General features: G+C 44.1%; 1 protein-coding gene across 18 annotated transcripts in view, besides 1 other annotated feature; it reads left to right on the forward strand.

Annotated features, from left to right (window-relative positions):
- Positions 1-14,329, forward strand: part of TRAF3 (TNF receptor associated factor 3) — a 134,052-nt gene that overhangs the window by 43,097 nt on the left and 76,626 nt on the right. For 10 of the 18 annotated variants that reach the window (NM_145725.3, NM_001385142.1, NM_145726.3 and 7 more), the window contains one exon: positions 9,789-9,927. The exons of 5 other annotated variants lie outside the window; for them this stretch is intronic. The gene's annotated coding sequence lies outside the window, so the exon portion shown is untranslated. Of the gene's footprint in view, positions 1-101; positions 8,052-9,788; positions 9,928-14,329 lie in introns of those variants that run through there. 3 more of the 18 variants (XM_017021618.2, XM_017021619.2, XM_047431741.1) reach the window with 1 other exon arrangement.
- Positions 7,521-8,020: an enhancer, noted in NCBI's record as "H3K4me1 hESC enhancer chr14:103294403-103294902 (GRCh37/hg19 assembly coordinates)". NCBI's record gives its function as "activates a minimal SCP1, AML or CMV promoter by ChIP-STARR-seq in naive H9 embryonic stem cells {active_cell/tissue: H9 hESC(naive)}" and the evidence as "EXISTENCE:reporter gene assay evidence [ECO:0000049][PMID:30033119]".

The raw sequence follows: 14,329 nt of genomic DNA on the forward strand, positions 1-14,329 counted from the left end.
TTTATTTGCTTTCTGAAATGGGACCAGCATATATATATATATATATATATATATATATATATATATATATTTTTTTTTTTTTTTTTTTTTTTTTTTTTTTGACAGGTTCTTGCTCTGTCACCCAGGCCAGAGCACAGTGGTGCAATCACAGCGCACTGCAGTGCAGCCTCAATCTCCTGGGCTCAAGCGATCCCCCACCTCAGCCTCTTGAGTAGCTGGGGTTATAGGCACCCACCACCACACTTGGCTAAGTTTTAAAAAATTTTTTTATAGAGACAGGGTCTCACTATGTTGACTAGGCTGGTCTTGAACTCCTGGGTTCAAGCAGATCCTCCTGGCTCAGCCTCCCAAAGTGCTGAGATTACAGGCATGAACCACCACACCCTCCTGGTACCTGCATTTTGAAAATGTTTCATTGCCAAGCCTGCAGGGAAGTCTGCCCTTTTTTTATTAGAAAATGAAGAGCTAATTCTGAAATATGCCTACTAAATATGCATATCTCAAGCACTTTAAAAGGATGTAGGGTGAAATAGTCTGTTCCTGAAGCAAATATCACTGTGTGTTCATTCCATTATTTCCGTAGCTTTTCTGTGGCTTTTGATAAGTTGTGTAGAATGTATTAAGTCTCATCTGAAAATGTATATTAAAGATTGTTCTTTTAATTTAAAATGATTTGTCCAAGGTACTTGACTTAATGATTCAAGATTTAATGAGCCGTGACACTTTTAGTAACACCGTCTCAATCTTTCAGATTTTATAAAAGATATTAAAGTTTTCAGAAAGTTGAGAATGGTCTTTTGTAATGTATTTTAAGATAGTTAAGAATAGAGTTTATATAATTAAGATTAGGATTTGTATTGCAAAAACTCCCTTCAAGACGCATTTTGGGCCTTTATGAGCGAGTAATCATGACAGGACAGAGTGGCTTCACCCACAGTTTTGTGGTTAATATTTGCAAGTCGTTTATTTAACAAGGTTGAAAAGAGGCTTCCTGGTGTCTTTTATAATTATCCTTTTCTGGGGACCAACTTATAAAGTAAAAAATACCTGGTGGCATTATCTTTGCTTCAGATGTATTATGTTTATGGAATTGGAAATGTTTGATTTCTTAGTGTGTGTGTATCAGTGGATTATGTAGTTTAAAATGTTTGCATCTGTATTGCATGCATAAACATGTCCGTTTCCAAGTGTGGCCTTTAAATACTCAGGGTTTTGTGGCCGGGCACGGTGGCTCACGCCTGTAATCCCAGCACTTTGGGAGCCCGAGGCAGGCAGATCATGAGGTCGGGAGTTCGAGACCAGCCTGGCCAATATGGTGAAACCCAGTCTCTACTAAAAATATAAAAATTAGCCGGGTGTGGTGGCGTGTGCCTGTAATCCTAGCTATTCGAGAGGCTGAGACAAAAGAATTGCTTGAACCCTGGAGGCGGAGGTTGCAGTGAGCCAAGATTGTGCCACTGCACTCCAGCCTGGATGACAGAGTGAGACTCCATCTCAAATAAAATAAAATACAATAAAATAAAAGACTGAGGGTTTTTTAAAAGGTCATAATAGAAAAATTTTATGTGTTTTAATTGTTTAAATGTTTTCTTCGGGATTAAAAAAACCTGAATGTATTCTGGGAAAATGTTAAATGGATGCAACACTATAAGATTTTCCACAGAAATATGTTATTCACCGTGAAGCACAATGGGAAGGCTCCATTAGCACTTTAGATGGTATCATAACTTTGGAAAAACCATTTCACCATGCGAGTATTTACAAAAACTGAAGCTGTCCCTGTCAGGTTTTGACAGAGCTTAGCTATATAGGTAGTAAGTGACGCAGTGCCAAAACCAGTCTTAAATTACCTATGTTGTCAATATGCAGATTTTCTCTATTTAGTATTTAAGCTATGAATTTACCAATCTGAGTAACTTGAAATGCAGTATCATAAAAAGAATCAGATCTACCAAACTGAAAATGTGTGCGTATCTAAAGTAGTTTCTTTTCTTGATTTTGGTTAAGTTAACAGGAGTATCTTCACATCTGTAATTTCTGGTAACTTAATGAGAACACACTGAACTTTTGGGTCACAATAAATTTTCCCATTATGTAAAATATTTTACACACCGGTTGACTCATTGTGAATTGTGAGTCGACATGATTCTCTTCCTGCGGAAAACAGAAACACATGCTGGCCGGGCGCTGTGGCTTATGCCTGTAATCCCAGCACTTTGGGAGGTGAAGGCGGGTGGATCACCTGAGGTCAGGAGTTCGAGACCCAGCCTGACCAACATGGAGAAACCCTGTCTCTACTAAAAATACAAAATTAGCCGGGCATGGTGGCACATGCCTGTAATTCCAGCTACTGGGGAGGCTGAGGCAGGAGAGTTGCTTGAACCCGGGAGGCAGAGGTTGCGGTGAGCCGAGATCACGCCATTGCACTCCAGCCTAGGCAACAAGAGTGAAACTCCATCTCAAAAAAAAAAAAAAGAAACACATGTTATTGTAATGATGATTTGAGCCAATTACAGGATTGTGCTTATGTTACCACATTGACTAGGTGCTTTCTGTGAGTTGGGTTGTTGAAGAGTTTGAGGTAGACAGATGGCAGTGGGTGGGAATGAGCGGGGAGCTTTTGTTAGGTTTAGGGAATGTGGTCTTTCCACCATCATTTAGTTGTTTATTTTATGCATAGGCTTATTTTCGTTCTTGTGAGCATTATGTTGAGTTAATGTGTTTTCTTTGACCTCAAACCTTCTGAAATGTTTCTGGGTCTTAAAGATTCAGGTATTATTTATTTCATAGTAGACAGAATCAAGTAAATGAATACTTTCTTGGGGGAGAGTGTTGATAAGTTCCATAGCGACACCTCTCCCTCATGATTAAAAGTGCTACATTTGCACAAATATGTGACTTATATTTTATATTAAAATTAAGATCAACTTTTTTCTTGAGAAGTTGTTGAACTTTTAGATTTGGGAGAGGGGGAGTTCTCACAGGAATTATGAATTGTTTTGACTAGTGAGAAGCTTATTTAACATTTTTGGAAGGAGTACCCCAAAAGTAATGCATCTTTTGGCATAGTGGAAACTTGCAGTAACGTTTTCTTGTTGTTTTTTAATTGATTGGGTGACCTGCATCTCATTAAGTGGTGTCTATTGGATGTTTGGCCTTTGGCTTGATTGTGTCCGCTTTTAAAAAATAACTTTATTGAAATCGTCACATTCCATACAATTACCTATTTAAAGTGTCCATGTCTGTGGTTTTTAGTATATTCACAGAGTTGTGCAGCCATTGCCTACTTTGGACATTCTATGGAAATGCGGTTGACAGGATGTGTTTTCTGTGTGCAGTCTCTGTCACTAAGCACCATATTTTCATTCATATTGTGCATGTATGCATCGGTTGTTCCTTGTTAATGTCGAATATTATTCCATTGTGTGGATGTTCCACATTTTATGTATTTGTTAGTCCATTGATAGACGTTTGGGTTGTTTCTACTTTTTGGCTGTTGTGTGATAGCGCTGCTGTGAACATTCATGTACAGGTTTTTGTGTGGACATGTCATTTCTCTTGGGAATATACCTAGGTTGTTTGTATCTGCTTTTGCTGCTTCTTTTACCTACAGTTCAGATTCCCATTTATGTTTGTACAGACAGTTTGCTACTTGTGACTGGGGCTTGTTTGACCTTTGTTGCTGACCTAGCGACTTCTTGTGTCATGTTTAAAGCCCCTGAGACCCTCTGTTGCCTAGAGAAACAGGCAGAATTGCAGTCTCTTTCCTTCCTAAGACCAGATCACATCTGGTGGTCATGAAATGGTCTTATCCTGTATAGATTTTTGGTAAATAAGTATGTATCTAAGCCAAATAAATTTTGTGTGTATTTTATATTATTTTTCTTCTCTCTGCTTCCTCTTGGGGACATCCTTTGTTCTGTGGCCCCAGTGGCACCTAGAGTGAATATGAATGATTTGTCTATGTTTTCCCTTCAGGCGGAATGCCGATTACTTGGATTTTTTCTTGTTAATTTTGGTGACTGAGTTGCCTGTTTTTGAAGTGAAAAATACCTGCAGATAGTAGGGTTGCCCTTTAGCATTTTAAGTGTCTAAATGAGACCTATTGGGATGTTTCCATAGTTTGCATCAAATTCATGTAAATGCGCGTTAATGATGTTAGCTAGTCTGCCTGAGCTAAATTACTAATTTCATTACTACTATTTAATAAAGGGGCAGGATTTGCCATGGTCATTCTAGTTAATGGTAAGAGCCCTGTAGGTCTCTCATCATATATCTAAGCTGAATTAAGGTTGAAAATATTACTGAGTGCCTTGTGGCTCTATTTGGTAACAGTCATGCCTTACATTTTGAGACAGCTAATCCTTTTACACACCAGGTGACTCATGTGAATTGTGAGTAGACACGATTCTCTTCCTGCAGAAAGAGAATGCATTCAGTCAGTTGAAAATCAACATCATGTGGTTTGTAGGATAGGTCTTACTCCTTTCTTAGACAAGGAATCTGGGATCCAGAAGGAGTGAGCGGTTGGTTAGGAGGAGTCAGTGCCAGAGGGAGGCAGCATGCCCTTTCTGCTCTGCCCACGCTGTGAGGACACCGGGCCGTGCCTTCGCCAGGAGGAGGTCATGCCAAGTCCAAAGCGTCAGGCCGCTCAGAGCCAAGCAGCTTTGCTGGAGCACCCACTGGTGCACTTGGAAAGTGATTTCTCCTGTTAAAGCCTCGCTGCCACCTCAACTGTAAACTGGAGACAGTAGGAAGCCACCTTCACAGGCCTGCGGGGACCTGGCACCCGTGCACCAAACCTTGCTGCCCTTAATCAGATGGTCGAATTGAGAGGCAGTTGGAAGGGTCCTGTGGTGTGCTCCTTCTGGGACCTTCTGCCACCCCTTGGAGGCAGGTTGCGCCCCTGCCCGTCTCTTCCCACCAGTGGACACTCCCTTCAGCCCTGGGCCAGCTGTGGGGCCCTCCTCTGTAGGCGCTGGCTGTTCCAGGAGGCACAAGAGTGTTGGTGTGGGACCTTCCCACTGCTCGAGATCCCCCACGGAGAGCCCACTCAGGCTACGCTTGGGCTTCTGGCCGTGTGGGTCAGCGTCACAGGACGGACAGATCAATGGGGGAAGAGTCATCCTGCAGCGCTGCCACCACTGGAGGCTGGTGAGAGTGGCGCTGCCACAGAGAACAAGCCTTGATCCCTGACTTGAAAGTCAGAGTTCTTCTGGAACTTCTGTGGGGAGTGCCCAGAGTGGCACCTAAATACGTCTAGAAGCGCTTGATGAAAGTTCCTCTGAGGCTTTTAAACTGCTTGAGTGAGTCTCTCTGAAGCACGGTGATGGCAAAAGGAAACCACCTCACGCTACCTCTTTGTGCCTTCTCTTCTCTCCTCATCTCCTGTAGGCCGTAGGTGTTCCCTGTCAGGAATTTACGCGGAGGCATGTCTGCTGTGGCCAAATGTGTTCATTCATTCATATCTCACAGTAAGAGGGAAGGATGGGGGAGGAAGACTGCTGTATTTCCTTAAAAGTTTTTCTGTAACTCGAATCCCTCCCACCCCCGTGAGGTAACAACGTCTTTTCCAGTTGGTGTCAGTGAACTCTGTTTTGGGTATCTACAAAAGCAGAAGGGGAGGTTAGGATGTGGCTGGAGGAGGCTGGTTCCTGGGTGTAAATCCTGGCTCTTCTGCTTGAACTGACTGTGCCTCAGCATCCTCGTCTGTCTGGTGGAGCCGCCTCACAGAGGAACAAGTGAGTTGTGCGTGTGGAGCAGGTGGCTGACATGTGGTGAGTCCTCCAGGAATGTGGCAGCAGAAGGAACACGTTGAGCACCGCAGATACCACCCTGACCGCCACTGCAGGGCTTCTGTGCGGGGGCAGCTGCAGAGCCGCCGCTTCAGGACAGCATGGGAGCTGCTGGAGGTCGGGGGAGCTCAGGGAAAGGGCCTTGCTGCCAGGGGTGGGAAGGGAGTCAGTGAAGACGTCCTGGAGGAGAAGATTCCAGAGCCTGAGATGTGAAGTAGGTTAGGTAGCCAGAGACAAGGCAAAGAAGGGCCATTTTCATCAGAGAACAGCATAACATTGGCAGAGGTCTGACATGTCATTTCCTGTTACTAGAATTGGGGAGTGACCAGTAGATTCTTTAATTTGTTTATTCATTCGTGCAGTCCTTCACCTCACACCTGTTCAGGGTCCGGCTGGGCTCTGGACATAGGGTGGAAGAAAACCATCTGAGCAGAGGCCGCGTGGACTGTCACCTCTGTCAGGGGTGCCAGGGCTGCCAAAGGACAGCTGTTACTTATGGGTGGCGGCGTGGTGAGGTCGCACAACACAGAGCTGCCCTGCTGTGTCCATGCCCTGGTGCCTCCCCGTGGTCACCATGTGCCTTGGGCAAATGGAGGCCTCAGGTCCCAGACATAGGCTCTGTCAGTGGTGGTGGCGGTGGCTGTACCTGCTCCGGGCTGCTGTGAGGGAGGGACGGGCTCCGGCCACAGGCGTGCAAGGTCCCCTTGCAGAGGACCTCCCGCACCTGCTGAGGAATGTGTACAGCCATCTGGAGGGTGTTCTCCCCCTGGCCCTCCCTGTAGTCCAGCTGAGTCCACGTCCTTCAGCCCCTTTTCAATGTTCCTTTCTCACAGAACCTTGTCCTGGAGGTGCACTCGGGCCCGGGTTCTTCCTCCTGTGCGGTGCCAAGCCCTCCTCCACCACGCATGATGGTGTGTTTTCCATGACTCTTCCTCCTAGAGCACCGGTGCCCGCCCTGACGGCGGTTCCCCACAGTCAGATTGAGTATCCCTTATCTGAAATGCTTGGGACTAGAAGTGTTTCAGATTCTGATCTTTTCGGATTTTGGCATATTTGAATATGCATAATTGGATATCTTGGGGATGAGACTTAAGTGTAAACACAAAATTCTTTTCATATACACCTTATACACATAGCCTGAAGGTAATTTTATGCAATATTCTTAAATATTTTGTGCATGAAACAGAGTTTTGACTGTGACCCGTCACGTGAGGTCAGTTGGGGAATTTTCCTCTTGTGGTGGTATGTTGGTACTCAGAAAGTTTCGGATTTTGGAGCAGTTTGGATTTTTGGATTAGGGATGCTCCATTTGAATATTCTTTTTATATACAGCACATGGTCAGTGCTCACTAAACTTAGTATTGCATGAATGAATGAAAACCAAAGGTCATTTACTAAGCGTGCTACTATTTCAGAAGCCTCTTTTTCCTGATTTGGTTCTATGGTCAGTGGTTTAATATTTCAAGTGCTCTGACCACGTAATGGTTGTTACCACACTGTGAAGGTGGCTGGGTGTTCAGTGATTGCTGCCCACAGAGGACCTGGAAGTGCTTGCTGTACTTGGTTTTCTGGAATGGAAATCATGGCTCATTCCCAGGAGCCCCTCAGCAGGGGCTTTGAGTCTGGTGCTAAGCAGCAGATGTGCAGATTCCCGCAGGGCGTACCTGAGCCCGGAGAGGGGGCGTCGTAGCGCACAGCGCACTCGTTTCCGCATTCCCACCCCGCACGGCCAGTTGTCACAGCCATCCTCCAGTAAAAAACACAAACCAGTCAACCTCTAGGAGACAGGTAGGAAATCTAGAAGAAGCCTCAGGTGTTCACAGCATTTTTTAAAGATTCTTTAAAAATCTTCGTGATTGGAAAGACTGCTTCCTGTGCCAGAGAGTCTCTCTCCAGCGCTTTTGCTTCTGAGGTTGGTAGCTTTCAGAAAGACTGCAATGCAGCGGTTACCAAAGTCCTTGTTAATATGGAAACAACTCGTGGTGAAGCCTTTTGCTCCCCTTCACAACTGCTGACTGTTGCCTGCAGTCGGAAGGAGGAGATAATGAAGGTAATACTCCTCCGGACCTGGCAGTTTAGTGATTAGAACGTACGCGATTCTGTGAATGCTGTGGCTGGCACAGCATGTCCTGCAGCAGCTCTGTCAACTTACTGATGCAGTGGGCTTCCTGGGAACGTGAAGCTGAAGATGTCTTTGCAGTTTGTGCACGATAATTTTGTTTTCATCTCTGTGTTCAGATGGTGGATTATAAGAAGGTAAGGGACTTTACAGATCATGCATATATGTATTTTAAATGTTTATGAATATCCCTAATCAAGGTAAAGAATTATGATTGAATAGACCTCTTTTGAACCTAAGAAATAAAACTTTATTTCTTGTTAATGACCCTTTTGACGTTTGAAGACTTATCTTATTTAGTCTTGACAAATGCCCTATATAAGTGAATTATTGAAGATGTTCTTTGAAGAGATCTGCTTTTTCTTTGATTTGCTAAACGTAGTTGGTTTCAGAGGTGTAGATACGCATAGAATATATTCATTTCTTTAACTTAAGCAATGACAGTTACATTAATCTGGATGGAACTTTTCGTCTTAAAAAATCTCAGCCACTGGCTGTAGATGATGAATTCTAATCTCCTTAGTTCTTATTTTGCCTTTAGAAGAGCATTTTCAGATGTGTGGAGCTCTGTGTTTATCCGTGGGGTGAGCTGGGTGCTACCTCCAGCTGCTGCTCTTCGTTTATCTTAGAGGGAGGCCAAGAGTCAGAGCGGAGATTTATTTTGCAATGAATTAGTGGCCCCAAACGGTATTAAATGCATTATGGGTGGTAATTTATATGTCCAATGCCAAGAAATATAATGTTGGGGTTACCATGGCAACTGCTTGCATTCTGAAAAGCTTGTGAATGGGTTCTGAACCTTCTGGCATTGGAAGTGAGCTTTTCCAGCTGAGGGCCTGCATTCGTGATTAGTGTAAATAAATTCAGCTTTCCATATGAAGCACATCCTTTCTCTTTGTTTACCAGAGTAGTCCATTGAGCTCAGTTCTTTCTCTGGTGATGTCTGCCTTGGTCTCTTGGTTCCTGGCAACAGAATATGGTTGAGACATAGTTTTCAACTTCAGGCTGAGGAACTAGCCTGTGTGTGTGTGATGACCTGCCACCTCAGTCCATGCACTGTGTAGAAGGGGCTGGCTCATCTGTACCTCCTGAGGGCTGGCAATGCATGATGTCTCCAAAAGCACAGTTGCAGCCGCATGTGCTGGTGGGCTCCTGGCACAGCTTTCTATCCATCTGAAGGGCTTGTTTCCGGTAACACTTGCTAGGGCTCTTCCTGGGAGGCAGCCCTGCCTGTTTCCAGGGTATCATGGGGATTGGTTTTGGGGAGGGAGGCCCAAGTTAGAAAGACCCATGTTTAAAATGTCAAGCTTGTGAAAATGATAAACGAGGGCCTATTGTCTTCATTGCCGAAGATCTGTTTGCTGTTTGTTAGAAATATATGTAGCATAGGCCGGGGATGGTGGCTCACACCTGTAATCCCAGCACTTTGGGAGACGAAGGCAGGAGGATCGCTTGAGCCCAGGAATCTAAGACCAGCCTGGGCAAAATAGCAAGACCTCATGTCTACAGAAAGATAAAATAAAATAAATAAATAAATAAAACTAGTTTCCCTTGTGCATTTAAAACAATGTTGACATCTTGATGGCCAGAGACTGAAATGTCTGTGTGTGATTTCAGGGGCCTGAGGTCGGAAGGTTGGAGCCTGGTGGTTGCTGCCGAGGCGGCAGCTCCTAGAGGGCCTGGCCAGACACTGGGAGAATGTTTTCATGCTCTGTAGAATTCATTCTCTTTGTTAATAAGCATTGAGATTATAGAATTTAAATGTTGAGCTTGAGGATAGACTGGCCTTGAGGCACACAGCGGGCATGCTGCTGTGGCTCACCTGTAGGCCTCAGTTAAGAATCTTTGTCTAATCCAATCCCTTTATTTTACAGATGAGGAAAATGAGGCCCAAAGAAGTGATGCCACTTGGTTAAGGTCCCAGAGCAGGTCAGAATCAGACCTAGGATCAGAAACCTGGCTCCTGGCTCCTGGCTCCCTACTCTTCTAAGGATCGCTGTCCTGACAGAAGAGGTTTGCTCTCAGTTAATTGATGTTGTTGTTGTTTTGCTTTCCTTTTGTCAGAAAGAGGCCTGTAATAACAACAGGCATCTAATTTAGACTCTGTAATTTAGAATTTTAAAAATTCTTGTCTTCCCTTCTTCTGGTTATTTATAGAATTTCTACTCAGTGTGCTGGAGTCACCCATAGGAGGGGCAAAGGGCATGACCTCTGCCCTTAACGCTGTGTGCTGTGATGAGAGATGGGTGCATAGCCGAGCCTGCAAACTGGAATGTTGGGATAAATTCTGGCTTGACATCTCCATTTCTGCCAGGCTGTGGTATTCTGTGTTCTTACAGAGAAGCTGCAGTGCCCAGCAGTTACCCAGGGGTGAATCTGAATCACCACCTGTTAAATCAAGGTCATGATACTGTATTTACTAAGGCAGGACAACATAGTAATTTAGGCTCAACTTACAAGTTGCAACTTATTACAAGTAATAAGAGGTTCGGCTTACAAGGTTTGAAATACAAATTGATTTTTTTAGCCAGATTCCATTGAACCCTGGTTTTTAATTTTCCAATCTTGAAAGAAGACTGAGATTTTACTGTATAACTCACTTAGGGTGACATTGTGTTTTCCTAAGTATTCTCAGTGATTTCTCCCATTCTCCCTATTCTTCTCACATGGGACTTTGACAGAGAGCTGCACCTGGGCTGGGTGTGTGGCCTCCCTCACCCAGCAGTATGGCCCAATGGTGCTATGTGACTGCTGAGTTAGGTCCTTAAAAGGGTGCAGTTTTTGCCTGGATGTTCTTTTTGGGGTACTTGTTTGCCATCCCTATGGTGAGGAAACCCATGTCGCCCACACAGGAGGACCACACAGTGAGCAGGGCATTGACATAACAAGGTGACTTCTGTTTTCTGAGTAACTTCCACCACAGTGGTGAAACTGTGTCCCCAAGCTCAGCAGGCGGAGGTAAAACATTTTTCAAAGAAAAGGGTAAGATAGGCTCTTGGTTTACCACATGGTGAAGAGAGGCCTCTGGCTCTTCCAAACTGTTGCAGATAGAGCGTGGAGTGCTGGGACTTCGGTCAGGCCAGGTCCTGCCGCCTCACTGTCCAGCTCTCCTGAGTGCTCCTGGTCTGCCTTGCTCTCTGCCCAGTGCTGCCTGCTGCCCGCTGCCCTTATGTGGAGTGACCTTCTGTCTCCCAGCCCCAGCCATGGGTCCCGTTGCCCAGAATACAAGAGCCTTTCTTGGCTTAGAACTTTAATTCAAAACCCTCAGTTCTTAGAGGGTTTGTTTTCCCTTTTTTTTTGGCCTGGGATTTTGAGAATATCTAATAGTGCTGGGCAGTTTTATCATTCATCATCATGGGTAGTTTGGTTTATTACAACTTGCAGCTTCATATCTTGTAAAACAAATTCATTTCTTGCTTTCAGATTTGCTTATCTAAAAGTTTTGTTCATAATAGTAACTTAGCACAAGGCTTCTAATATATGAGTTGATGAAAAGCACCTCCTGTATCACCTTTAATAAGGATAATTTTGAAGTGTAATTTAATGCCTGGAAGCCAGTTGGTACTGAGGTTTAATTTTGTACTTGGGAAAGAAGTGTGAGAAGAAAAGTATCCTTTTTTCCTTAAATTTATTTTTCTTAGTTGACATATAAAATTGTATATATATTTATCATGTACAACATGATATTTTGAAGTATATATATTATGGAATGGTTAAGTCTAGCAAATTAGCAAGTGTAAAGATAAACTCACAGTTATCTTTTTTTGTGGTGAGAACACTTTACATTTTTTCTTTCTTTTAAACATAAAATCTTTCAGAAAAGACGTCTACTTTCTCAGCATTTTTCAAGAAGAAAAGTATCTTTTTAACAAATACATTTTCTAAGCCCTGGTCTGCAACCCACTCCATTCAGTTAATATTTATCAAGCACTGGCCGGGCGTGGTGGCTCACACCTGTAATCCCAGCACTTTGGGAGGCCGAGGCAGGTGGATCACCTGAGGTCAGGAGTTCGAGACCAGCCTGGTCAACATGGTAAAACCCCGTCTCTACTAAAAATACAAATATGAGCCGGGCATGGTGGCAGGCACCTGTAATCCCAGCTACTTGGGAGGCTGAGGCAGAATTGCTTGAACCCGGGAGGTGGAGGTTGCAGTGAGCCAAGATTATGTCATTGCATTCCAGCCTGGGCAATAAGAGTGAAACTCTGTCCTCCCACCAAAAAATATATATATTTATCAAGCACTACCTACACACACACCCACTCTCTCTTATACACACACAAACACACTAATAGACATAGCAGTAATATATATTAAGCATGAATACAGCAAGAAGTTTGGTACCCTAGAATTAGAACGGGTTTTTTTTTCGTATATAATCTACAAAATGAGATGTTGAATTGATGTTTAATACTAAGCTACTTCTTAAGCATTTGATTTTTCTTACTGCATTTACCTATGTTTATAATTTTAAAATCTGAGAATTATAGAAAATACGTAATTTCTACTTATCTTTCAGATTATAGCTTAAATGTCCTCTCCTGGGGTGGGGGAGGTCCCCATATCCACATAAATGGGTGTGACCTCCATGTGCACTGTGCACTTCCCTTTGGTACTTTTCGTCTCACACACATGCACACCCTGCACAGACACACACACTCTTATTGCTGGTGTTCTGTCTTCTTGCCTGTGGACTGTCAGCTCTGTGAAGGGGAGGCTTCTGTCTTTCTTGTCCCTCTCCCTTCTGTGGCACTCAGTACATGTTGGGTGAATGAATGAATACTGGACACAGACGCTTTCCTTGAAGGTGGTTGGATGATCTACCCTTTCCTTATAGGACTTTTTCAGATGTTTTCAAATTCAACCAAGAAATCTTTTTTTTCTATTACTAAGTTACTGTTTTTCCAAATTATTGAATATTTCTATTTTCTCCTGCCTTTAAGGAGTAGGAAACAACTAAGAACAGATGATGTCTCATGTTGCGAATGGATCCTTCCTTCCTTTGCTTTTCCCTCAAGTTCTTTCTCATGCAAGCGAACACCCATATTGTGAGGGGTAGCAAATTTAAATGAGTCCTTTGCATTCGAGTATAGAGATGACTGAGGAGAATGAGGTAGTTTGGAAACACTAGAAAAATCTGCCTCAGTGCTTTTGATATTTTAATTTATAGGCAATTCTTTTAAGTTTCATTTTTCTCAAGACAAATGCCAGACTGTGGAAAGGGTGCTGTCATTTAAAAATATTCGGGCATGTGGCCGGGTGCGGTGGCTCACGCTTGTAATCCCAGCTCTTTGGGAGGTCGAGGCGGGTGGATCACGAGGTCAGGAATTCGAGACCAGCCTGGCCAACACTGTGAAACCCCATCTCTACTAAAAATACAAAAATTAGCTGGGTGTGGTGGCACCTGTAATCCCAGCTACTCAGGAGGCTGAGGCAGGAGAATGGCTTGAACCCGGGAGGCGGAGGTTGCAGTGAGCCAAGATTGCGCCACTGCACTCCAGCCTGGGCAACAAAGCTAGACTTTGTCTCGGGGGGAAAAAAAAGAATATTTGGGCGTGCATACTGCCCAAAGCGATTTACAGACTCTCTGCTATTCCTAGCAGATTACCGAGGACCTTCTTCACAGAACTAGAAAAACACTGCTTTAAAATTCATATGGAACCAAAAAAGAGCCCAAATAGACAAGGCAGTCCTAAGCAAAAGAACAAAGCTGGAGGCATTCTGTTACGCAACTTCAGACTATACTACATGGCTACAGCAACCTAACAGCATGGTACGGGTACAAAAGCAGACACGAATGGAACAAAAGAGAGAGCCCAGAAATAAGGCTGCACACCTACAACCATCTCATCTTCGACAAAGCTGACAAAAGCAGTGGGGAAAGGACTCCCTATTCAATCAGCGGTGCTGGGACGACTGGCTAGCCACATGCAGAAGATTGAAATTGGACCCCTTCCGGCTGGGCGCGGTGGCTCACGCTTGTAATCCCAGCACTTTGGGAGGCCGAGGTGGGTGGATCATGAGGTCAGGAGATCGAGACCACAGTGAAACCCCGTCTCTACTAAAAATACAAAAAAATTAGCCGGGCGTGGTGGCGGGCGCCTGTAGTCCCAGCTACTCGGAGAGGCTGAGGCAGGAGAATGGCGTGAACCCGGGAGGCGGAGCTTGCAGTGAGCCGAGACTGCGCCACTGCACTCCAGCCTGGGTGACAGAGCGAGACTCCGTCTCAAAAAAAAAAAAAAAAAAAAGAAATTGGACCCCTTCCCTACACCATGCACAAAAATCAACAAAAGATGGATTAAAGACTGAAATGTAAAACCCAAAACTATAAAAACCCTGCAAGACAACCTAGGCAATACCATTCTGGACACAGGAACTGACAAAGGTTTCATGAAGAAAACACAAAAAGCAATTG

This window comes from Homo sapiens, chromosome 14 (genome assembly GCF_000001405.40).
Source record: "Homo sapiens chromosome 14, GRCh38.p14 Primary Assembly".
Classification (NCBI taxonomy): domain Eukaryota; kingdom Metazoa; phylum Chordata; class Mammalia; order Primates; family Hominidae; genus Homo; species Homo sapiens.